The sequence below is a fragment of the Homo sapiens genome, chromosome 1, assembly GCF_000001405.40.
Source record: "Homo sapiens chromosome 1, GRCh38.p14 Primary Assembly".
Classification (NCBI taxonomy): Eukaryota; Metazoa; Chordata; class Mammalia; order Primates; family Hominidae; genus Homo; species Homo sapiens.
Window position 1 is genome coordinate 116,265,336 of NC_000001.11, and position 25,670 is coordinate 116,291,005.

General features: G+C 41.8%; 1 long non-coding RNA gene and 1 other non-coding gene across 4 annotated transcripts in view; one reads left to right on the top strand and one right to left on the bottom strand.

Annotated features, from left to right (window-relative positions):
* Nucleotides 1-12,598: 12,598 nt before the first annotated feature.
* Nucleotides 12,599-25,670, bottom strand: part of LOC105378920 (uncharacterized) — a 58,385-nt gene continuing 45,313 nt past the window's right edge. Inside the window, exon 5 of one of the 3 annotated variants that reach the window (XR_001738197.2) lies at nucleotides 12,599-13,488. This is a non-coding gene — a long non-coding RNA (uncharacterized LOC105378920). Of the gene's footprint in view, nucleotides 13,489-23,892; nucleotides 24,656-25,670 lie in introns of those variants that run through there. The other 2 variants (XR_947728.3, XR_947729.3) reach the window with 2 other exon arrangements.
* On the top strand, nucleotides 13,271-13,486 carry LOC124904669 (small nucleolar RNA U3). Its single transcript, XR_007067183.1, has one exon. It is a non-coding gene; the product is annotated as a small nucleolar RNA U3 (small nucleolar RNA).

The following is a 25,670-nucleotide window of genomic DNA, read 5'->3' on the forward strand; positions in this document are numbered from 1 at the left end:
GCTACTGGGGTTTTTGTGGTGATGATGGTAGTAATCGTGCTTATTCTAGTTTTGGTCAAGAGAAGAGGCTAAAACATGTAGCTTGGATCACACTGTAGAAAAGGTGGAACAATGTGGTAGATCAAAGGGCCGTGGGGTCGACCAACTGGATGGGACAACCTACTCCAACCTGCTACCTGGAGCAAGTCACTGAATTTCTCTAAGTCTCATTTGCTGTTTTTACCTCCCAAGGTTGTTGTAAAGATTAAATAAGACAGTTCATATATCTCAGTAAGCCTAGCATCTGGCGCTTAGGTATAAATATATGAGCTTTTATTATTATTAATAAAATAAAGGAAAGTCATAGTCTCCTTTTTTGCTCTTTATGTTGGGCGTGCAACCCATCCTAAACCTTGCAAGTCTTTTTTGCTGAGAAAGACGGGCCTACTGCTACAGTTGTGAATTATGCTTTTAGAATTAGTTTTCATGTTTTATTTCTTAATTTATTTGGTCTGGAAACACACAATTTCAACCATTCAAGGGAGAAAAGCCCTGAGTGTTTTATTTATCGCAAACCCAATGTCTGCTGTCCACCGTAAGAGACAACTTTGTCCAACTGGCCTTATTTTGTTGTTTTTGTTGTTCTGTTTTGTTTTGTTTTGTTTTAGGCTTTTAGCAGCCTGAAGCCATGGTTTTTAGTTTCTGTCTCTAGTAATAAGCAGATAAGAAGGATGAGGAAGGAGCTTTACTGGTCCAACCAGAAACAGAAACTAAGAACCCATGACTGTATTCTCGCCCTTGGACACCCTAAAGCTTCCGGGTAGATAGGCACTGCACCCTGGGCCTGCAGGATGGTCTGGTGCCAGGTGTGGCTGCCTTCTCAGCCCAGTTAGTCTCAGCCTGGGACCCCCTGGCTCTGGGCATGTAGATTTTGGTCTTTCTATTGTTTTCTCCTGGCAAGACAGCAAATCAGAGGGGCTCAAAGAACTCAAGGCAGTTTTCTATTGTCCATAATAGGTGGGAATGGGATTAGCAAGAATACGTAAAATCCACACTCCACCTGCTTCTTAAACAAATCCTTTACTGTAATCACCCACAGGCTCTAACATTGATTGATCTTATGTCCTCTGCCTAATCCTCCTCTGGTGGGTGTATTAATGATGAGAGCCTAAAGGCAGCTGGCAAAGAGAAGGCTAGAGACAGAGTGAAGAAGGGGAAGAACATCTACAAACTGAACCATTAGTCTGAATAATTGAGAGCTGACTCTGTTTGAAATTTGACTTTTATAATGGTTTGGCCAGAGCTGGGGCCCAAGAGGCTCCCTTCTAGCCTCATGATAACAACCATGGGGCCAAAAGCCAGGCCTGCACAGTGCTTTTCTAAATGGAACAGCTGCTGCTATCGTCACCCAAAGGAAGGTGTCTCCCGGGGCCAGCAGTCCCTAAGCAGTCTTTCAGCCATATTATTATGAGTAGGGAAAGGCTCTGAGGCCAGGCCTACGTAGCCTGGAAGGACAATGGCTTATATCAATTGGGGTTGCCATCACAAGAAGGAACATGTTAACTGGGCCACTGGCTTAAAGGCCCTGAATTTTGGAGCTTGGGAGGATTTCGCAGCTTCCTTTGTTTTTCCTTCAATCTTACATGAGAGAGTTTCATGGAATTAAGATTAAGGCAGGGACGGTATTTGCCACAGGTAGCGACTTGCCATCTCTTGGCCAGGTTGGCACCAAGCCCCATTGTGAGTGAACCATAGGCTGGGTCACATTCACTTTGCATTTGTGCGGGTAGCAAGTTGGGTCTATCTGAACACACAATCTGCAAGTTCACTAGCAAAAGAGTTGTTTACTGTACTTCTTTAGCATGTGGGGTCAACTCATTGACCCAGAAGGAGGCCATCAGAGATTTGCAGGAGACAGACTGGGACTCTATCTAAGCTGATTTCCCCTGGCAAATGACTGAATCCCTCCACACTTCAGTTTCCCCTTCTATGAAAAAAGAGGGAAAAATGTTTGCCACTCAGAATTGTTAGGAGGAATATAGGTGATCAAAATTCTTACAATGTCAAGCATGACAGTCAGTAAACTTGTCTTCCCCTTATATACCCAGTGGTAGCTGCATTTGCAGTCTCCTGACAGGGGAGACTGTTCTCTTCCAAAGCAGAGTCCCCAGGCAGGAGCTACTGTTGGCATAAAACCATCTGTTGAATTGTACTGTTGTTGCATGGAAGGCAAGAGGACTCCTAATGTTTGATGTCTTTGGGGCTTTTGCCTTGAAGGACAATGGGGATAGACCTTTGCCTCGGAAAAGGAGCGACTCAAGTACAAGGCAGGTAAAACCATGGAAAGCAACAAAAGATCAGGGGACCCTTAGGCTGCTGTGAAGACCGTACCATGAAAATCGAGATAAGGTGGTGCTTTCCTCAGTCAGCAGGAGCACCCAGTCAAACAGAGCACCTGGCCCCCGCCCAGCGAATGAAGAGTGGTTGATTCATGAAGAGCCTGGAATGGAGACAGCACCTGTCAGAAGAGGTGATGGGGCATGAGTATGTGTACCAGGTTCAGAGTTCGGGCTCCTTCAGTCCAACTGACCAATAGGAGAAAACGCTGAAAAGAGACGGTGATTCAGGGCTGGCAGTGAGGAAGTCCCCAACTTTATCAATGTACCTGAATTATTGTTTGGTTCTTCCTGTCTTTGGCTTTTGATAGTTGTGGTCCTCAGCCAAGAAGAGACAGAGGAAATGGAACAGAGGGTGTTCCTGAGAAATATGGGGGAGGAAGAAGTTATTGTCAACTGGCGCTCCCGCCTGCAATTATTGTGGTGTTGGCGTTCCTCATACTTCCCAGTGCCGTCCCCACCACTCATTGTGCTGGCTTGGAGGCACTCGGTTCAGAGTCTTCAAACCCTCCTCCTCAGCCTTGGCCAGGCTGTCTGTCTCCTCAGGGCAGCCAAAGAAGATGAGCTCATTTCCAGAACCCAAGAGGTGGCTCTGACCCTCTCTTCCCAGTTATTGCTGAAGTTGGGTGGCTGAAACCAGTCAGGGCATCATGCTGGCACCAGGCCAGTCTTGCATCAGGCAAATCTGCTGACTCATCTCTCTCTTCTAAACAAGCTCTGAGAGTTGGCATGCAGGAAGCAGCACCAAGGAGTCTGATGGCGTGGGCCACCTGGCAGGGACTGACCAAGGGGAGGCGAGGAGCAGCAGCCACCTGCCACCCCAATCCCACATTCTTCTAACAGCACCAGGGACAGAAAATATGTGCCTACCCAAGAATTTCAGGGCCACAAGTAGAAACAAGTATATCATAACAGGGAAGGTTGCAACATGAGAAATATGCTTTCCCTGAGAAAAGTGGATAACTTGACTTGAATGATCTTCAAAAATTATGTTTGGTGTTTGGAAAAGCTTAGTGGATTCTTTAAAAAGAGCTACACATTAATATTTGCAAATAAAAGATATACAAAGAATAAAACAAAAAAAATGGCCCATAATCTCCTCTCCCCCAACCTCAGATAATTGTAGAAGTACTTGATTAGATAATATATATGTACAAAATAAAAAGTGAAAGCTCCCATCCCCTGACTTATCCCTCTCTTAAACGCACATTTTTACGTGCTTTTTCTTTCTTTCCCATGGGAAAACAATGTATGTATACCCCTACATTTCCATTTGTCCTTAAACATCTTTAGTGTACCAAAACCGCCTCAGGTTTGCACAACTTCATGGAACACCAACCACATTGTACTTTAGGGTGTCTTGAACAGGGGCAATATTCCCATAGCACACAGTGTGAATGGTGCCCACCAGAGCCGCACAGTGTGGTAGGAGTGCTGTTTCCACATCATAGTATATCCTGGAGCTCTTTTCAGATCAATACATACGGATCTATCTCATTTTCTTTTAAACATCTGGTTTCATAGATTCTATCATTTGGATGTACCATCATTTCTTCAACCAGTCCCCTGTGGGTAGACAATTCATTTCCTCCTTCCTCAATTATAAGAACACTCCAATTAGCATCCTTGTACAAATATATTAGCAAACTCTTGTGAATGTCCGTAGAATAAAGTCTTACCATTGGGATTCTTAAGTACATACATCTTAATTTTATAGACATTGCCTAATCAATAACTTCATTTTAAAGAACAACTACTCCAAGGAGCAAAACAGTTTCCCTGACTTAATTCCTCCCTTGAAGGAAGGTGAAAAGGATTTACCTGACATTGTAACAGAGTCCCTTTATGACCAAAAACAAGATTAACTGGGTATGAATACAGATTGGGTGAATAAGAGAGAGGTGGATTGGATGAGGAAGAATAAAGAAAATTCTTTAGAATTTACAAAGGACTGTCATCTTAACCACTGATATGAAGAAAGGTGGACAAAAGGGCTTAAAAGGCCTCTTATTCTCTATAACTTGGTTGTTCACCCTAGAGGGACTTTGTCGTTCATGAGTTAGTGACATGTTGCATCTATAGACTCATCATACATCAGTGAGAGCCACCAAGCAGCTCAGAAAAGAAATGGAGGTTTAACCATGCGCTCTATGCTTTTACTGTATGTGCTAGGATTTTCTCAGAGATTCCATTATTGAATGTGTGTTTCACTTACCTACTGTAGCTCTACAATAAAGCAACATTATCTCTCATCCTTCTGTGGGTTGACTGGACTCAGCTGAGTGGTTCTCACTTGGGGTCTCCCATGTCATTGCAGTCATATGCGGGCTCTTGTTTCAAATGGAATTTCCCAAAGTAATTTGTAACTTTCCCCCAGCCTCCTGTAGCTATTATTCTCCTGAAGACAGGAGGATGGAGGATTGGCCGTTAGTGTTTGGGTCACAAGAGACATACCTAACTCAAACTGACTTAAAGGAAAAGATGAATTTACTGGCTTAGGTAACTTCAGGAATACTTCAGGAGTACCTAGATCTAGCTGTTAAAATAATCTTATTAGGAATTTGTTTCTTTCCATCTCTCAAATTATTTTTTTCCTCTATTAGGTTCTTTCTCAAATAATGCCACCAAGTGCTCCAGGCTTAAGATTAACAACCTTGGGAAAAAGAAAACATCTCTCCCAGTGGCCTCAGCACCATCCTGAAGCTTTTATTGGACTGAGTGGGTCACATGTATATCTCTGAACAAATCTTCATGGCCAGGAGAAGGGGATGCACTGGCCAAGCCTGGGCATTTGGCCAACCTCTGGGTCTGGGAGATGGAATCAGCTTCCCCCTAATTGTATGAACTGATATTAAGAGTGAATTACTTAGTAAAATGAATGTGGAAGAAGGGAGACTGTAGGCAAAGACAAAAGATGTCTACCTATAAGGTCCTTACCTGGGACTGGTGTGACAATGCTTGGGAACAAGTCACGCTTTGGGTGAACCTGTGGTTCAATTGGCTTTTGAATCCTCAGCTGTGATTAGGAGAACACTGAGACTTTTTCACCTTTGACAGTGGTCAGTAGATATATAGAATCATGGAATCATTCAATGGCTGAGACCCTGAGGACCACTGACTCCAATCCCCCACCTAGTGGTTGAGTCCCTTCCACAGCTCCTCTGCAAACACTTAGAAATGCTCGGTGGCAGGATGTTTGCTCACTGCCTTCAAAAGCAATCTCTTCCATTATTAGGCATCTCTATGTGTTTTTAAAGTTATTATAAAGTAAAGTAAATACTAACCATCTAAAATTGACTCCTACATGTTAGACACTGGGCTGTACACTTTACATGTCTTATTTCAACTTCATTTTACAATATTCCTGTGAAAAGAGTTACTGTTATTAGCCCTGCTTTACAGAAGAGGAAACTAAGAGCAGGAGAAATTAAGTAACTTGGGTATTTTGAGGACAAAAATCCTCATGGTATACCTCTGCATTGTGAAGGTCTGCCATTCTGTAATTTTTACCCATTGATCTTATACTTTGGCCTTTTGGAGTTATTTGGATAACTCTTCAAATAATTTCAGACAGCTACAACATATCTCCTAGGGCTTCAGTCTTCTAAGGTAAGCATCCATATACCTTCTTACATTCTGAATGTAAAGTGGTTTACAGAGATTTCACCAGATGCCCTTCTCTGGGCATGCAGAAGTATGCCTCTTAAAATGTGCTTAAAACCCACTCTGGGCCAGGCAGGTGCCTCACGCCTGTAATCCTAGCACTTTGGGAGGCCAAGGCGGGTGGATTGCCTGAGCTCAGGAGTTCAAGACCAGCCTGGGCAACATGGTGAAATCCCATCTCTATTAAAATACAAAAAAAATTAGCTGAGCATGGAGGCATGCATCTGTAATCCCAGTTACTTGGGAGGCTGAGCCAGGAGAATTACTTGAACCCAGGAGGCAGAGGTTGCTGTGAGCCGAGATCGCACCACTGCACTCCAGCCTGGGTGACAGAGCAAGACTCCATCGCAAAAAACAAAAGTGATCTAACCAGTGTAAAATATTATGGGATGTCTTCACTGTGGGTGTATAAAACTGTCAGCACAACTCAGACTGCATTTGGTACTTAAGGAGTCACATTCCACTGACAACTCAGATTGAGGTTGGAGCCATCTTCCATGCTAAGGTCTTCTTCATCCATGTCTGTTGAGTCTCTCCCAGGTTATAACAGAATAGTTAACTTTTTGAGCCTCTGGGGCAGGACTTTACCTTTATCCTTGTTAAATTTCACGCTGTTCATTTTAGTTTATTGCCCAATTACTGGGAATTTTTATTATATCGTTCTATACCCCAGTTATCTCTCCCAGGGTAGAGCATCTTCAAATTTGACAGGCATGTATTTATCAAGTCAGAGACTTAAAAAAAAATGGACAAAACAGGAACAGGAATAGAAAATGCCACTGGAGACATTCTGGACTGAGCCTTCTTAGTTAACAAATCCCACCAAACTGTACTATCACTCCACCCTCAGTTCTCCAATTCTACAACAATTTATGAGAGATTTTGTCAAATACTGTGACATATTTCCTATAAAACATGTCCAAAGATGTATTACTCTGTTAAAATATTTTAGGGGGAAGAGGTTGGTTTGTTATTCTTTTATTCATTAAATTATCTAGTATTTATTGAGCATTGGCTCTGCCATTTATTAGCTGAAAGGCCCTGGGCCAGTTATTTAAATCACCAATGCCTTAATTATCTTATCTGTAAAATGGAGATAATAACCTCCCATACCTTACATAGCTGATGTTGAAATTAAATCAGATAATAAACCTAAGTTACTTAGAATGGTTCCTGGCAGGTAATAAATGCTCAGTAAATATAAACTATAAACCCCAATTGAACTATTTAGTGCTTATTTTTCTCAGTTAACACTACTTTCCCTCCTTTTCTGGTTACTGCGTCCAAACCTCCTGCAGTGTTTATGTATTTTTAAATTGATACACAATATCTGTACATATTTATGGGATACATGTGATATTTTCATACATGAATACAATGTGTAATGATTAATTCAGGGTCATTAGGATATCTATCACCTCAAACATAAATCACTTCTTTGTGTTGGGAACATTTCAAGTCCTCTCTTCTAGCTATTTTGAAATCTACTGTAAATTCTTGTTAATTATAGTTGCCCTACTATACTGTCAAAGCTAGAACTTTTTTTTTCTTTTTTTGAGCAGAGTCCCACTCTGTTACCCAGGCTGGAGTGCAGTGGTGCAGTCTCAGCTCACTGCAACCTCTACCTCCCAGGCTCAGGTGATCCTCCCACCTCACCCTCCCAAGTAACTGGGACTACAGGCACACACCACCATGCCCAGCTGATTTTTGTATTTTTTGTAGAAACAGGGGTTTCACCATGTTGCCAGGCTGATCTCAAACTCCAGGGCTCAAGCAGTCCTCCTGCCTTGGTCTCCCAAAGTCCTGGGATTACAGGTGTGAGCCACCGTGCTTGGCCTACAGAACTTATTAGTCTGATCTAACTGTACTTTTGTACCCAATAACCGACCTCTCTTCTCCCCACCCACAACCTCTAGTAACCACCACTCTACTCCCCACCTCCATGAGATGAAGGGTTTCTTTTAGCTCTCACACATTTTGTTCTCCTTTGGCCTCTTCTGATGACTGCTGGCAGGTGCACCCCTCTCCAGCTATGCAGGACTCCCTCGGGATCGTCACCAGTTCACATGAGGATCTAGAGCCTTCTCTTTGCCTTCCTCACTTTGGTTATTTGTGGTTTTAGCATTTTGATGGCATTTTTTGGGCTTCCCTGCCATCCCTTCTGTCAGGTTTTAAAGCTCTTCCTGGCAGGTGCCTGCAGCCAGCCCCCTGAAGGATTAGTGACAGCTGCCGGCAGCCGGCCTGCTACGGGGAGGCACTGTGTAATCTGCCTTTGTTGGCCTAGGCCTGTTGTCAGCCAGCCCTGGGGTGACTGCACTGAGATTTCATAAGAGGGAAACATAACTTTGTCCTCTCTCTCTCTCTCCCCCCCCGCCACTCCCCAGTCACTCTCTCCCTCTCTCCCTCTCTCTCTCTAGTATTAGGATTCAGTGGGTTATTTCCCCACCTCTTCCCTTGCAAATTTTTTTCATATAAATGGATTCAGTATCTGAGCATTTTTCCTCTCCAAATTCCCTAATCTGCAATACACATACCTTTCTCCAGACATAACAATGTGTGTAATTATGTTATCCAAAAAAAGAGAAAGGGCCACGTGCAGTGGCTCCTGCCTGTAATCCCAGTACTTTGGGAGGCTGAGGCAGGTACATCACTTGAGCCTAAAAGTTTGAGACCAGCCTGGGCAACATGATGAAACTCTGTCCCCATAAAAAATACAAAAATTAGCCAGGTGTGGTGGCATGCACCTGTGGTCCTAGCTACTTGGGAGGTTGAAGTTGAAGAAACGCTTGCGCACAGGAGATCAAGGCTGCAGTGAGCCAAGATTGTGCCACTGCACTCCTGGCTGGGCGACAGAGTGACAGCCTGTCTCTGAAGAAGGAGAATGAGAATGAGGAGGAGGAGGAGGAGGCGGAGGAGAAGGAGAAGAAGAACAAGAAGAAGAAGAACAACAATAAGAAGAAGAAGGAGGAGGAGGAAGAGGAGGAGATTCCTTTCTTCTCCCATCTCCTCACTCCTCCATACTTTTAAGCCCACCTCAGGGTCACCATAATACCCAACTCTAGGGGAAACTATTTGTATGGTTTGCATGATAAACGGTGACCTTCTTGAATTGTGCAACACGGCAGCACAGCCTGACTCTCTATAGCTTGATCATCCTGCTCTCCATCCCATCTCTTCTTGCAGGCTCTTAATTCTTGATAGATGAAAATGTTGCTGGCTTGGAACATCACACTAAAGTACTAGATATGGGTGGGCTGTTAGCGGGACAAAAACATCTTGCTGACACAGAGGATACTGTCTGAAGAAGACAGCACTCAGGAATGCCTAGTGATTGGCATGATGCTCGGGCTGGCTAGAGGGGGCCCAGGTGTGCCTCATAGTGTGCTTGTGTGGCATTCACCACGGAGGAAAGGCAGCCAGCACTCACTGAGGACCCACATCAGCCCAGGCCTATACCTGAGCTTTCTCATGCTCTCTCACTTACTCTTCAATAGGCCCCATAGAGATGAGGACACAAAGGCTCAGAGAGATTTAGCCAGCCCCCAGAGTTGGTGAGTTGCAGAGGTAGGAGTCAAATCCAGGCTGTGTGGCTCTTACCCTCCACATGACAAGGCTACCCAGCAGGAGGAATATAGAAAAAAAAAACCCAGAAATAACTATAAATAGGGTTGATGCTTTCTTTCTTTATCTTTCTTTCTTTTTTCTTTCTTCTTTCTTTTTCTTTCTTTTCTTTCTTTCTTTTTCTTCTTCTTTTCTTTCTTTCTTTTTGTTCTTTTCTTTCTTTCCTTCTTTCATAGAGAAGAGGCAGTTTTTTGTTTGTTTTTTTTTGTTTTTTGTTTTTTTTTTGACAGTCTTCCTGTGTTGCCAAGGCTGGAGTGCAGTGACACAATCTTGGCTCACTGCAGCCTCCGCCTCCCAGGTTCAAGGGATTCTCCTGCCTCAGCCTCCCAAGTAGCTGGGATTACAGGTGCGCAGCACCACACTCGGCTAATTTTCAAAAAATTATTTTTAGTAGAGATGGATTTCACCATGTTGGCCAGGCTGGTCTTGAACTTCTGACCTCAAGTGATCTGCCCACCTCAGCCTCCCAAAGTGCTGGGATTACAAACATGAGTCACTGTGCCCAGCTGAAGAGCTAGATTTAAAACAAATCTTTTTGTGTGTGTATTAGGTTCCTAGAGATGCAGTAATGAATTACCACAAACTGGGAGGCTGGAAACAACAGCAATGTATCCCCTCACATTCTGGAGGCTAGAAACTCAAAATGAAGGACTGTGCTCCCTCTGAAGCCTCCAGGGAAGAATGCTCCTTGCCTCTCACTAGCTTCTGGTGGCTCCAATAATCCTTCCCGTTTCTGAGCTTGCAGCTGCATCACTCCAATCTCTGCCTTCATTGTCACGCGGCCTTCTTCCCAGGGTGTTTCCCCATGTGTCCTCTCCTTTTCTTGTAAGGACACCATTGGATTTAGGTCCCTCTCTAATCTAGTATAATCTCATCTTAACTGATGACATCTGCAACTACCCTATTTCCAAATAGGTCACATTTGAGGTTTTGGGTGGTCATGAATTTTGGGGAGACATATTCAACCCACCACACCTTGCTTCCCAATTCTGCTCCAAGCCAGCCCAGGCTAGAGTCTAAAGCCCAGCACTGCCTCACTTTCAGATTGATTTCTGTAGAAATATCAGCTCAGTAGCAGTTCATCCCAGTCTACAGATGTATTTTATAAATTTATAAATTTTTAAATTGAGCCATGTGGTAGGAAAACATTATTAAGGGAATGGAGGTCTCTCGGGGCTTGAATTTCTGAAAGTGCTTCTCGGTGCCAGCAGCCTTGACCCCTCAGCATGTAGAAGCAACAGATGGTCTTTCTTGCTCAGGAGCTGGCCCTTACCACCTGTCATTATGTCTCCAATCTGGACATCCCTGTAATGGTGTCGATGCCAACCATGTCCCTAAGGTGCCTCATGGCGTGCTTGTGTGGCACTCATCCTGGAGGAAGATGATGGTCTGAGCATCTTCATCCTGGTCATCACCCAGGCAGGCCCTGCATGAATAGTAACATTACAGTGATGAGACATTTCTTGCCATTGTAGGCGGCCTGGATGTCAACTCAGGGTGTGCTGACACCTAGGCCAGTGTTCTCGGAGTCCATGCCAGTGTGTTCTTGTCCTGATGCTCCATCTGATTGTCTACAGACTTCTCTGCTGCCTTCAAATTCCAGGAATCCTGCACGCCAACAGTCAGCTCTGCCACACTTCTGTCTCCCTGCACAATGAAGGTATGCACCTACACCCAGCTCTTCACCTACGCCCACTGCTCGCCTCTCCTCCTGGGCATTTCCATTTGCCACTCTCGCCACCTCCTGCTTGGGCCTCCAGGGGCTGCCTGTTCATCACACCTGGCCCTCATGACTTTCCCTAGCCATTCCCAGGTGAAGATGCCACCCATCGCAGTCCCATGCTGGAGATGCCAGGATAAAACGGGCAATGGAGTGGACCCAGAGAACTCTGCTCCTCCCCAACCCAGAAGCTACCAAGCAACAGTGAGCGGAAGCCCCTGGCTGCATAGGTGGAGGCCAGGTAGACCACTCCTCACCCCATCCCAAAGAACAGGAAATGAACTGTGAGGCCCCTAGGCCCAGCCAGGGAGGAATGCTGCACATAGGCCTGTGGTATGGATGCAGCCACACAAGTTTCTTTCAGAAGGAGAGGGTGGGAACGGGGGTGGCAGTCAACGCAATCTTCTCATAACTCCCAAGTGTTTTGCTAGAACAAAGAGCTAACCTCCAGCCTCAAGTCTCTCTGCAGGGCACTTAGTTCCTTCTCACTGCAGAATCAGCAGCCCCGGAATCTGCCCAGGCTCCCCTCTTCAGCCACCCACTTTTATTTTTCTCTGCGGTACTTCCATCTGCTGATGTTGCCCGACATGCAATGTGCCATAAAACAGATTTGACAATTTGTTTATTGTCTATCTTCCCACTAGAATATATGCTCCTGGAAGGTGGGGCTCCTGCCCCAGAGCCTAGAACAGTGCCTGTCCAAGCTGAAGTGGCACTTAGGCAAAGTCATTGAATGAATTGCATGAGAGGGAAGCAGCCCAGTCCTGTCAAATGAGCTGGAAGAGACAGACTTCAGAGACAGTCTAATCTTTTTCTCTGTTAACATAAATAGCAAACAAGGAGAGTCTCTTTAAAAGAAAAAGATATTTACCTGGGAATAGAGCATTGTATTGGGAATATGCATATCATAGTAAACTATGTACATGTTCAGGGAGGTAAAGGAAGACAGATTTTTAAAGAAAGAAAGAGAAGGATTACATATTTGTTTTGACATAATTATCCTTGGCTCCAAAGATCAATAACAAGGGTGATGCCAGTCTAGGCTTGGATAGGCAGTGGCTGGGCAGATGTCTTTGCAGAAGTCTTTTTTGTGTAAGGCTGCAACGGCCTTTGTGCGAGGTCATGGTTTTTACAGAGTCTTGTGTGACAGTTTTTGTTATCAGGCTTACACGTATGAGAACTCTCTCTTCATGGCCTTTCCCAGCTCCATTTGTCAGGGTTCTTTCTTTCTTTTTTTAACATTAGTGACTCCATTTTGATTTTGACAACTTTCACAACCCTAATTTTTCCTGGAAGGAAACTGGGAGCAGTCCAGAGATTCTAAATAACTCCTCGGATTTGACACTGGAACTGGGTTTTGCATTGTTTTCAAGAAACTTAAGACACACTGCCCCATTTGCCCTTCCCACACACTCTGAGGGATGTGATGATGGTGGGAGCAGAAGCTTAAAGAGGCTAAGTTGCTCAGATGACACAGGCGAAATTTAAGCTCAGATTTGTGTGACTCCAAAACTACAGCTTTTTAATAATTAGGTTGAGGATAACAAATACATTTCGTTTCAACAGCCAAGTGCAGTTAACTGGGATGTGACTCAGGGCCACCATTTTGAGGAGTCTGAGGCTCCTCAGGTTCAGTAGATAAGAGTGCATGATTGATTAGCAATGTCTGCCACCGGCACAGGGTGGGGAATGACAGCGTTCTGCCATCCCTGCCACTAGGCAATGATGCAATATTAGGTTCCTTATCTTAGACTCTTTGTCCCTCACCTTACTGTTTCTGAGGCCAATATTCCTATGGTTCCTGCCTCAGCAATGAGAAGCCTATGACAAAGCTACCAAACACTGTCAAGTTGGAGGTGAGCAGAGCATGACTTCATTAGTAAGAAATGGAAAGACTATACTTTCAGGGATCATTTATATGATTTGTGGCTACAGAAGTTTCTCAGCGTGAGGAGCCCCAGAAACCATGAGGAGGAGACGCAGCATTCTCTGTGGCGCGTGAGGCCAGCTCTTGGTTTTACTTCGCTACAACTGCATTTGCCATTGGTGATCGTTCTTCTCTCATCTCAGGGAGAGTAGAAGGGAGAGAAGATGCAGCCTGAGTGATTCCTGTTTCAACATTTAAAAAGAAGAAAGAAAGAAACTGAATGCACATTTGGTCATTCCAGAATCCTTTGCCCATGACTCAGGGCTTAGTATCACCTTTGTGTAGGAAGGACACCAATATATTAAGTGTAGGGGAACAGATAATCCAAAATTATTTATATCTGTTTTTGGAAGCATCACATGACCTAGAGTGGCAGAGTTATCTCAATAACTATGTTTACTTGGGGTTATGTTATCCTCTCAGAGTTCACACTGAGAGCGGGGAAGACAGCCTTGACATGTGCTTTGTGATGGTGGGACTGAAGACAGCAGCTGAAGGAAACATTTGCTGCCAGTGATACATAAAGCAGAGACTCCATTTTGTCCAGAATAGAGTATGAGCTGTGTATAGAAGGTCTGACCACTCCATGTTTGGGGATCCATGAATCAAGTCAGGGAACCCAGAAAATATTATTGAGTCATGAGCTAAGCCCTATAAAATGCCTTGTATCACACACAATAACAGATATTTCAATTTTCTCCCATCTGCTGGGATATGTTCTGCAGGATGCTATGTAATATGGGGTCTGGATGTGGACCCTGAGCTCAAGGAAACTATGCCCCAACTCAGGAGACAAGACTCCTCTTACCAAGACACAACCTGCCCCGATGCCTCGATACTTTGTCTCCCTTCCTTCCCTATTAAGCAGCCTATCTTTATGCCAAATGCACGGGAATTCCTTGTAATTCCTCTGATATTTTGTATTGTTTTCACCTCTGTGCCTTTGCTACTGTTCCCAGACTACCTTGCAAATAGCTCCTCAGGGTTTTGATTTTTGTCTCTGCCCCTCACCAGCTATGAGGTCCTGGAAAAGTTACTTAACTGCCTCTATGCCTCTGTTTCCTCCTCTTAAAGTGGGGATGACAACAGTTTTACCTCCTAGGGTTGTTGTAAAAATTAAATGAGTTATCACATATTAAAGCACTTAGAAGCACACTTAGCACTTAGAAGGATTAGACAAGAGTTAATAATTAGTATCATCACTCACCCTTCAAGACTCAACTTGAACGTTATCTCTACCAAGAAGCATTGCAAAAATTACCACAAACAAAGTCAAAAGACAAAAGATTACCTGGAAAAGAGGTTTGCAATACATATGACAAAGGACTGACTGGTTTCCTTAATTTATGGGGAACAAGTACAAATCTGTAGGAAGACAAGAGTTCAATAGAAAACCGCCCAGCTGTCAGGAACATGCAGTTCACCGAGAAAGAAATACAAGTGGCCAATAAGCAAGAAAAGATGCTTAATTTCACTCATAATTATGCAAGTCAAAATAGTAACAAGAAGCCATTTTTTTTTGCGTATCAGATTGGCAAAAGTTTTAAAGTTTGATGATACCCAGTGTTGGCAATGGAGAAATTAACCATTTGCATATACTCTTGAAGAAAGTATAGATTTCTGCAGCCCTTTCAGCAAGCATTTTGGAAATATTTATCAAAACCAGAAATGCACATTTCCTCAAATGCAGCAATTCTCCTTCTGTTTATTGATATCCTCACAAAAGAATATATGTCAATATATGTCATACTATATTCTAGGGTTCTAAAACTGTGCCTGGCACATAGCGATTGCTCAATAAATAGTTGTTTTATAAATAAATTAACCAAAATGTTCATTGTAGCAATGTTGGTAATAGACAAAAACAAAAAACAACCTGAATGTCCAGCAACAGGGGAGATTTTAAATAAATCTTGCACACTCATACTATGGAGAATTCTGTAGCTGTTGCGACCAATATCATATATCTGTATATTCTGATTTAAGAAGACTTCTTTTGTTATTGTTGTTTTGTTTTTAAATTTTTTAGATTGACAAATAATAATTGTACATATTCAATATCATGATTTTCTTTTATTTGGATTTTATTTTATTTTTTCCTTTAATGGGATTGTTGGATCATGTGGCAGTTCTATTTGTAGTTTTTTAAGGAACCTCCATACTGTTCTCCATGGTGGCTGTACTAGTTTACATTCCCACCAACAATGTATAGGAGTTCCCTTTTCTCTGTATCCCCACCAGCAGTTGTTATTTTTTATCTTTTTGATAATAGATATCCCATCTGGGGTAAGGTGATATCTCATTGTGGTTTTGATTTGCATTTCCCTGATAATTAATGATGTTGAGCATTTTCCATGTATTTGTTGGCCAATTGTATGTCTTCTTTTGAGAAATGTCTATTCAAATTTTTCACCCATTTTTCAATTTGATGGTTTATTTTTTTCCTGTTGAGATGATTGAGTTCCTTGCATATTCTGGATGTTAATCCCCTGTTGGATGAGTAGTTTGCATATATTTTCTCATATTCTGTAGGTTGTCTTCTTACTCTGTTGATTGTTTCCTTTGCTGTGTAGAAGCTTTTTCATTTAGTATAATTTCATTTATTTTTCCTTGTGTTGCTTGTGCTTTTGAGGTCTTATTCATAAAATATTTTCCCAGACCAATAACCTGAAACACTTCCCCTGTGTTTCTTTCTAGAAGTTTTATTGTTTCAGGTCTTACATTTAGGTCTTTGATCTATTTTGAGTTAATTTTTCTATAGGGTGAGAGGTGGGGGTGTAGTTTTATCCTTCTGCGTGTGGATATCCAGTTTTCCCAGCACTGCTTATTGAAGAGACTGTCCTTTCTGCAATGATTGTTCTTGGCACCTTTGTCAAAAATCAGTTGCTTGATACATGTAAATTAATTTCTGGATTCTCTGTATTCCATTGGTCTGTGTACTTGTTTTTGTGCCAGTACTATGCTATTCTGGTTACTACAGCTTTGTAGTATATTTTGTTTTGTTTTTAAAAACTAATTTAAAAATTTTTTGTAATAGAGACAGGGTCACACTATGTTGCCCAGGATGGTCTCAAACTCTTAGGATCAAATGATCCCCCTGCCTTGGCCTCCCAAAGTATTGAAAGTACAGGCATGAGCCACTGCACCTGACCTAAAGTATATTTTGAGGTCTGGTAGTGATACCTCTGGCTTTATTCTTTTAGCCCGGGTTTGCTTTAGCTATCCTTTCCGAGTCCTTTGTGTTTCCATGCAAATTTAAAAAAAAAAATTTTTTTTCTATTTCTGTGAACAATGTCCTTGGTATTTTGATAGGGATGGTGTTGAATCTGTTGTCTGGGTAGTATTGTCATTTTAACAATATTAAGTCTTCCAATTCATGAGGATGGGATGTCTTTCTATTGTTCGTATCTTCTTAAATTTCTTTCATCCATGTTTTAATGTCTTCCTTGTAGAGATTTTTCAAGTCCTTGGTTAAACTTATTTGTAGGTATTTTATTTTTTGTAGCTATCATAAATGAGATTGTCTTCTTGATTTCTTTTTGAGCTAGCTCATTGTTCATGTATAAAAATGCCAGTGATTTTTGTATATTAATTTTGTATCCTGCAACTTTACTAAATTCATTTATCAGTTCTGAGGTTTTTTTGAGAGTCTTTAGGTTTATATAATCATGTCATCTGTAAAGAGAGACAATTTGACTTCCTCTTTTCCAATTTGGATGTCCTTTATTTCTTTATCTTGCCTAATTGCTCTGGCTAAGGCTTCTAGTACTATGTTGACTAATAGTGATGAGCATTGTCATCCTTTTTTTTGTTCTAATTCTGAAAGCTTTTCCTCATTCAGTAAGATGTTAGCTGTGAGTTTTTCATATATGGCCTTTATTATGTTCAGGTACTTTTTCTATACCAAATTTATTAAGAGTTTTTACCTTGTCTGTATAAAGAATTAAAAAAAAAATTAGCCAGGCATAGTACCTTCCACCTGTAGTCTCAGCTACTCAGAAGGCTGAGGCAGGAGGATTGCTTGAGCCCAGGAGGTTGAGACTGCAGTGAGCCATGATTATGCCACTGCACTCAAGCCTAGGTGACAAAGCAAGACCCTGTCTCAAAAAAAGAAAGAAAAAGAAAAAAGAGTTTTTATCATGAAGGGAGGTTGAATTTTATCAAAAGGTTTTCCTGCATCTGTTGAGATGATTATATTGCTTTTGTCCTTCATTTTATTGATGTGATGTATGACATTTACTGATTTGTGTATGTTGAACAGTCCTCGCATTCCCGGGATAAATCCCACTTAATCATGGTGAATTATGTTTTTGATGTGTTGTTAGGCTTAGTTTGATAGTATTTTGTTGAGAATTGTTGTGTCTATGTTTGTCAGGGATGTTGCAGTTTTCTCTTTTTGTTGTGTCCTTGTTGGTTTGGGCATCAGAATAATGCTGGCCTCATAGAATGAGAGAGGAAGAATTCCCTCTGCTTCAATATTTTGAAATAGCTTGAGAAGAATTAGTATTAATTCTTCTTTACAAGTTCAGTAGAATTCATCCAATCTTGAACTTTTTTATTGGAAGACTTTTCATTACTGGTTCAATCTCGTTACTTGTTATTGATCTATTCAGTTTTTCTATTTCTTCTTGGTTCAATATTGGTAGGGCATATGTATGCAGGGATTTATCCATTTCCTCTAGGTTTCCAAATTTATTGGTGTATATTTGTTCATATTTGTCTCTAGTGATTCTTTGTATTTATTTGGTATCCATTGTGATGTCTCTCTTTGTTTCTAATTGTATTTATTTGGATCTTCTCTCTTTTTTCTTTATTAGTCTAGCTAACGGTTTGTGTATTTTTTAATATTTAAAAAACATTTTTGTTTTATTGTCCTTTTTTTAGTCTTAATTTTGTTATTAATGTTAAGATCCTTATTATTTCTTTTTTTCTGCTAATTTTGGGCTTGGCTTGTTCTTGTTTTTCTAGTTCCTTGAAGTTTTTAGGTTGTTTATTTGAAATCTTTCTAGTTTTTTGATGTAGGCATTTATTGCTATAAACTTATCTCAATACTGCTTTTGCTATGTTTCATAGATTTTGGTATGCTGTGTTCCTATTTTCATTTGTTTCAAGGAATTTTTTAATTTTATACTTAAATTCTTCCTTCACCCATGGGTTATTCAAGAGTATGTTGTTTAATTTCCATGTATTTGTATACTTTTAAGTGTTCCTCTTGTTATTGACGTCATTTTACTTCATTATGGTCAGATGAAATGCGTGATATGAGTTTGATTTTTAAAAAATTTTTGAGACTTGTTTTGTGTATTACCATATGGTCAGCCCTGGAGAGTGTTCCATGTACCGATGAAAATAATGTGTATTCTGCAGCTGTTGGGTGAAATGTTCTGGAAATGTCTGTTAGGTCCATTTGGTCTATGGTGTGGTCTGAATCTGATGTTTCTTTGTTGATTTTCTGTCTAGATGGTATGTCCAATGCTGACAGTGGGGTGTTGACATCCCCAACTATTATTGTAATGGGGGTCTATCTCTTTCTTTAGATCTAATATTTGCTTTATGTATCTGGGTACTTCTCTGTTGGGTGCATATATATTTATAATTTGTATATTCTTTTGCTAAATTGGTCTCATTATTATATATGTTCTTCGTCTTTTCATACAGCTATTAACTTGAAGTCTATTTTGTGTAATATAAGTATAGCTATTCCTGCTTACTTTTGGTTTCCATTTGCATGGAATATCTTTTTTCCAGCCTTTCACTTTCAGCTGAGTGTTTTTACAGGTGAAGTGAGTTTCTTGGAGGTAGCATATAGTTGGGTCTTGTTGTTTTTATCCATTCAGCCAGTCTCTAGCTTCTAAATGGAAAATATAGTTCATTTACATTCAAGGTTATTATTGATAAGTTAAGAAGACTTCTAATACATAAGGTAAAAAGAAAACACCTAAAACATCAAAGTGCAGAATAATAAACATTGTACATGATCATTAGTGTCAATAAAAAATATATACATATAAATATTCAAATATTCTAGTATTGCATTTTTCTTTCCTGCAAAGATGACTTAGAAGTTGTTTTTATTTCCTTTGTAAAAAAAGAACTGGGGACAGGGAGGTGGTCAAAGAGAGAATTTTAGATTCATTTTATATTAATAGGTTTTTAGTTGAAATTTTTCTTCTTAAAATTTGTTTGTGGGGGAGTATACCTATATTGATTGTATTTTAAAATACAAATAAACAAATGCATTTTGTTGTCTAGTAGCTGATCAGGCTCTCCAAGATCTCCCCTGTATACCTCTCTGTCTCCTCTGGCCACCGCCTGCCTCTTACTTCATGCCCTGGCAGTGCTGATGAGCTGGCAGTTCCTATGCACCTGCCACCATGGCCCTCTTCCCAGGCCTTCGCTCTTGCTGTTTGGCTCCTCTGCTTTCAGTGTTCTCCTCTCTCCACTCTCCCTGTTATTTAAGGTCTTACTCCCATCCGGTACTGCCAAGCTAGTCTAGTGACCACTGCAGCGTCCCCATAATACTCTGCACACTTCTCTCTCCTTACACTCCATTGTCTTTGAATTGATGTATTGGGAAGGTGACAGCTGTAAGTGATCCTTAGCGCAGGTCTGTGCTTCACTCATCTTTGCAGTTTAAACTGTCAGCATGGTGCTTCTTATGTAAAAGGCTTTCAATAAATGTTAGATAGATGGATCAGAGGAAAAAATATATTATCTGAAAAATTATGAAAAAAACACTTTCTTAAACCCTTTGATGACTGATACTAGTATTCCTACATAAAACAAACTACTTGGCTGGGCGCAGTGGCTCACGCCTGTAATCCCAGCATTTTGGGAGGCTGAGGCAGGCAGATCACTTGAGGTCAGGAGTTAGAGACCAGCTTGGCCAACATGGTGAAACCCTGTGTCTACTAAAAATACAGAAATTAGCCAGGCATGGTGGTGGGCACCTGTAATCCTAGATACTTGGGAGGCGGAGGTAGGAGAATCACTTGAACCTGGGAGGCAGAGATTGCAGTGAACTGAGATCATGCCACTACACTCCAACCGGGACAACACAGAGAGATTCTGTCTCAAAAAAAAAAAAGGAACTACTTACAAAGCTTGGTATTGACTAAAGAGAGCTGCTTCCCCACTAGCAACCCTTCAGGAATAATTGACTCCAGCACCAAAAAAAAAAAACCCTATATTGTAGCACCCCTACATTGAACAGTCTATTTCTGAGCCTTCCTTGCTTCTCTTTCCAAGCCCACCCAGAGCAGCCCTAGCAAAGGAATGAAGTATTAGAAGAGAGAACCATTCCGGGGTTTATTCACCCATGTACTGACATTTGCTACATGACAGACACTGCTCCAGGCAAGGAGGCAGTGGCGGGTCACAAAGAGAACAAGCCTATGTTCTTGCCCTCAAGGACCTAGTTTTATTGCAAAAGAGAGTTAAGGGAAGAAAATAAATTGTGGTATAAATAGAGAGAAAAAAATTATGGCCCATTATAGAACTGAAAGCCTCCAGGTCTCCAAATCAAAATCCAGTTGTACCTGATGATTGAAACCCGAGGCCAGTGGGAATGCCTGAGGGGCACTGGGGGAGTGTTGGGAGGTTACAAGGGAACTAGCAAATGCTGCTGCAGCGAATCTTTGGGAACAGATGGATTTCCAGGGAAGGCAACCACCTGAGAGAGGGAGAGGGAGAGCTGATCAGGATAGAGTCAAAAGTTTTAACACCAAAGATGCAAAAATAGTAGAGTCAATGAAAGTTTTATGGCTGCCCTTACAGTGTTTTTCTGGCAGTTGTTCTCCCATGAAGGGAAAGCAGATGACATACGATTGAATGAGCAAGGAGGCTGAGGTCTTCAAATATCTGTACTTATGAACAGCTGCTATGGGAGGAGGATGGGCCAAAGATAAGGTGTGGGGGGCTGGGGGTTGAGTTGAGAAAGGCCTGCAGGACTGCCTCTCCACTTCCTTGAGTTACTCCCCACCCTACCCCCAACTCCCTCCTGTGTCTGTTCTGGCCCTGGCCTCTGAAGCATGAAGGTCACTGTGGCTTTGGCACCATTAGCCTGAGTGGTTTTAATGATGTGGCCCAAAAGTGGTCTGTAAAGCAACAGTGAAAACACATGCACTGGAGCAATTCCAGTCAGATGGTACCTAATCCGTGCTCTGCCAGCAATCTGCTGCATGACCTTGGGTAGGCTGTGGGTTAGACTCAGTATACAACATCTGAGATTCCTTCTGTATGAATGTTCTTTATGGAATTCTAAACTTCACACATGTTCTTGGTCTCTAAACTTCTAAAAGCACTGTAGATTACTCAGAGATAAAAGGGTCTGTTGAATGAAGAACTCCAACAAATACATTTTTTACTTCTTACCACATATTTTGTAAACAATAATTGGGATGTCTACCCATAGTATCTAACTTAATCACAAGACATTTATTGAAGGCTTATTGCACATTAAGCAATTGGGCTAATATTCCAGAACTAGGTTGTGATAGTATTAACATCTATAGGTTGAACACTGTCATGTATATCATCTCCCATAACCCTCAGTTCTGGAAAGGTAGGTATTATCTTCCTCATTTACAAAGAGAAAAAACAAAGGCTTCAAGAGATCAAGAAACCTGATCAAGGGCACACAGTGAGAAAAGCACAGGGCCAAGATTAAAAACCCATGGTGGTCTGACTCCAGAATCTGAATACTTTACTGAGATTTATTGCCTTTTCTGGAAATAATTATAGGTGGCTTAGAAAGAATAAGTAACTCTTGCATGAACCAAGCATATCAAATTTGCTGCTGGTCTAAGCAGTACGTTCTCCTCCCTCACCAGGTTTATTTTCCAATGCCCTCAGAACTTCCTACCAGCAGCCACTAACTCAGTTGCTCACCAGATTCCTGCTACGCAACTTTTGAGGATGGCTGGATGGCTGACCCACCTAGCAGCCTTCTTTGTCCAAACTCCTTATGCCAGATTAATTCTCTTTATGGGAATTGTTGTGGGAAGCTTTTCACAGGAAGGAAACTGAGCCCACGTGACAATATTGCCCAGAATTTGAATGTTACATTTTCCTGGGCTAAAGAAACCTTGCCAAGAGCCCTCTGTGATATTTGTTTTGTAGTTGTTATTTAAACTGAAGGGCTACTGAGCTGCTTGATCAGACAATGAGGTAGACGACAGTTTAACTTTCCAGAAGCCAGGTGCCAGGAACCATGGATCTCTTTCTTTGTGGCTGAGATCTGAACCTCAGGATGGAAGAAGAGTCTTAAGTCACCTTAGATGGTCCTGGAGCTGCCGAACTGTTAGGCCCTGCAAAAGTCCTGGAAGCCAACAGAATTACTTCACAGGGCCAAGGGGCAGGAACAGGAGGTTACCACTGTGCATTTACAAAATGCTGACCTGAGGTCCCAAAACAACATTCTGCTCATAGATCTAGAACAAAGGAAAGGACCTTAATTGACATAAGCCAGTGATGATAACACATCAGGCTTGAACACAAACTCAGTGAGTGCAAAGCAACTCATGGGAGAAAATAGAACTGAATGTACAGTTGACATACAGGCAAATCTTGCATACTGCTGGCAGTGGAGAGCAACCTGCGTAAGTGTTCCCCTAAGATATCCCCAGGAGGGAGGTACCAGGGATGTCTATTAGATTTCCCCACCTACTAAAGAATATCAGCAGTCCCACTGCTGGAAAGACCTCAGACAACTTTCACGTTGCAGATGAGAAATCTGACAGGCAGGGAGGGGAAATGACTGGCCCAAACTCACATGCAGAAGGGGAACTGAAATGCTTTTGCTGACAGCTGTCACAGTGTTCTTTTCCACAGTCTCAGCATTGCACTGGTTCTTACCCCTTTGTCCCTGAGACATGGTTTCACTGTTTTTCATTGTTTGTGTATAATTGCAGTGACCTTGGTGGCTACCAGCATTGTATCCCAGGTATTCAACCCAACTGGTGGTGGCAGAGTTTATTTCTAAGTTACTTATCATAGGCAGAGAAGTCAAAGGGCTTTGGAGGTTTGCCGGAAGAAGACTTAGGCAGAACAGATGATCAAATATCTGAAAAAACTGAAAGAGGAGTTGTTAGGCTCACTTGTTGCTGCTACAGAACACTGGTTCTCAAAGTGTGGTCCAGGAACCAGCAGCATTGGAATTACCTGGGAATTTGTCAGAAAGGGAAAATCTTGGGCCTCACTCCAGACCTATTGAATCAGAATCTCGAGAGTGGAGCCCATCAAAGTGTTTCAAGCCCCAAAAGTGATTATGATATGCTAAAATGTGGGGCCCTCTGCCCAAACAGGGTAGGATGTGAGTTAAATTGTCAGGAAGACAGATAAGCAAGGACTATGTGACAAGGATGGGTCCCCTGGAAGGTGAGGTGACACTAGATCCGGGCACACAGAATGAACCCTCACCAGCCAAGAGAGTTCTGAGTGGAGAGCTGCCCTGGGAGGAAAATGCTGAACAGATCACCTCTAGGTGCTCAGCAACTCCAAGATCCTATGACAATTTTTACATGATAAACGGGACAGAAATACAATTACTTCCCCATTCTGGAATGGAAGCACCACAAAGGCAGGCATTTTTGTGTTTTTATTTTACTTTATTTTAATTTTTTGCTATTGTAACTCCAGTGCCTAGAGCAGGGATAGAACTCTTGGCCCAAACCCAGCCCACAGCCTGCTTTCGCAAGTGACATTTTATTGGAACACAACCATGCTCATTCATTGACATATCATCTATGGCTGCTTTCACAATCTTGTACTACAACAGCAGAGTTGAATCACAGTGACTGACCGTATGACCCAGGAGACCTAAAATGTTTGCTCTCTTGTCCTTTATAGAAAAAGTTTGACAATCCTTGATCTAGGATATTGCCTGAGTCACAATAGATGCTCAACAAACATTTGATGAATGAATGAACCCTTTTCTCTGTTGGCAGAGAGGTACAGACACCTTGGTCTGGGAGAAAACAGAGATATAGAGGATAAAGCTATTAAATTCAGGGGTGGCCAGACCTGGCCTTGAGTCCTGGCTTCATCATTTACAAGTGGGGTGACCTTAGGCAAATTATTTAGCTCCCTGTGTGTCATATGCCTCATTTGTAAAGCAGCAATAATACTAGCCATTTATAATTAGTATGACAATGAATCAATTTACATACTGCACAGAAAGCATGGAGCCTGATGTGTGTAATTACTGAATACGTGATCCCCAGTTATTAATAACTTTGAGAAGTCTTTGATGAGAGGAGTTCAGACATGTAGGTTTGGACACAATGGAACAAGGAGTTGACAATCAGAAGGTCTAGGCTGTCCTCGGTTCTACCACCATGCAAGAGCTCTCTGTAGAAGCAGGAGAAAGGGCAAATTCAGAGATTGTAATTAAGCAGCTCAACATTTAAATTTGTGGAAAGCTACTAGGTAGATAATTTACATATGATTATCTTTAAGATAGTGTATAAAGAGGCAAGATTTCATTGGTTATAGATGTTCGGGTGTTTTCTAGTAGTGAAAACTAGTAATTCATCTATATTTTCTCACATATTCCCCTGATAACCAACTGCAAACAGCTGTCTGGGTGTCAGGGCTGGACAGCCCAAGGTCATGGGAACCCTCAGAAGCTACCTGGTCATAGAGGGACTGACCTTGCCCTCTCACCAGCTGACAATGGAGTTCTCCAAGAGGGTAGTGTTTTCTCAAACAGTGCAAGCATAGCCCCTTTGTGTTAGGTTGGTAGTGTTTTTATTGTTTTCTGGCAGGAATTCTTTACATATCCTAGGTGTTCTGGCAGAAGTCTCCAAACCCTCCAGTGCCCCAGGGTAAGCCAGAAACAATAAATCACGGGCAAGTATAAATCCACACTGGCAGGAGACTGAGTCAGAAACATGTTGCAACTTAGGACTGCAAATGCCCATGTTTATAGCTTCCCTGATTCTGAGATTCTGCAAATTACCCTGCATGCCTGTTTCCAGCATACCAATTTTTCTCAGTAACATTGAGGAAAGCGTGGTAATTTCCAGAATTCTTTAGAGTATGCTGGCAAGTGCAATTTCACATGTGAGGAAAAACACCTGGAAGCTCACTCCTCTCCTTCGTTCACATGTGTCGAGCCCCACCCCAGAGCCCTCAAATCACAGATTCCATTAAGAACTGTTCATCTTCAACATGTAGAACTTAATTATGGATATCTACAGAGTGTGAGAATCTGCTGTATTTCTTCCAAGACATAGAGGTTTAATAAAAAGGAAAACTGAAGAGGTATAACCCAGATTTTTATTTATTCATGTTTATATCTTCTTATATATCAGGATCCAGAACACTGGAATCCCTCTCCTGTAAGTCAATTACAATTTACATG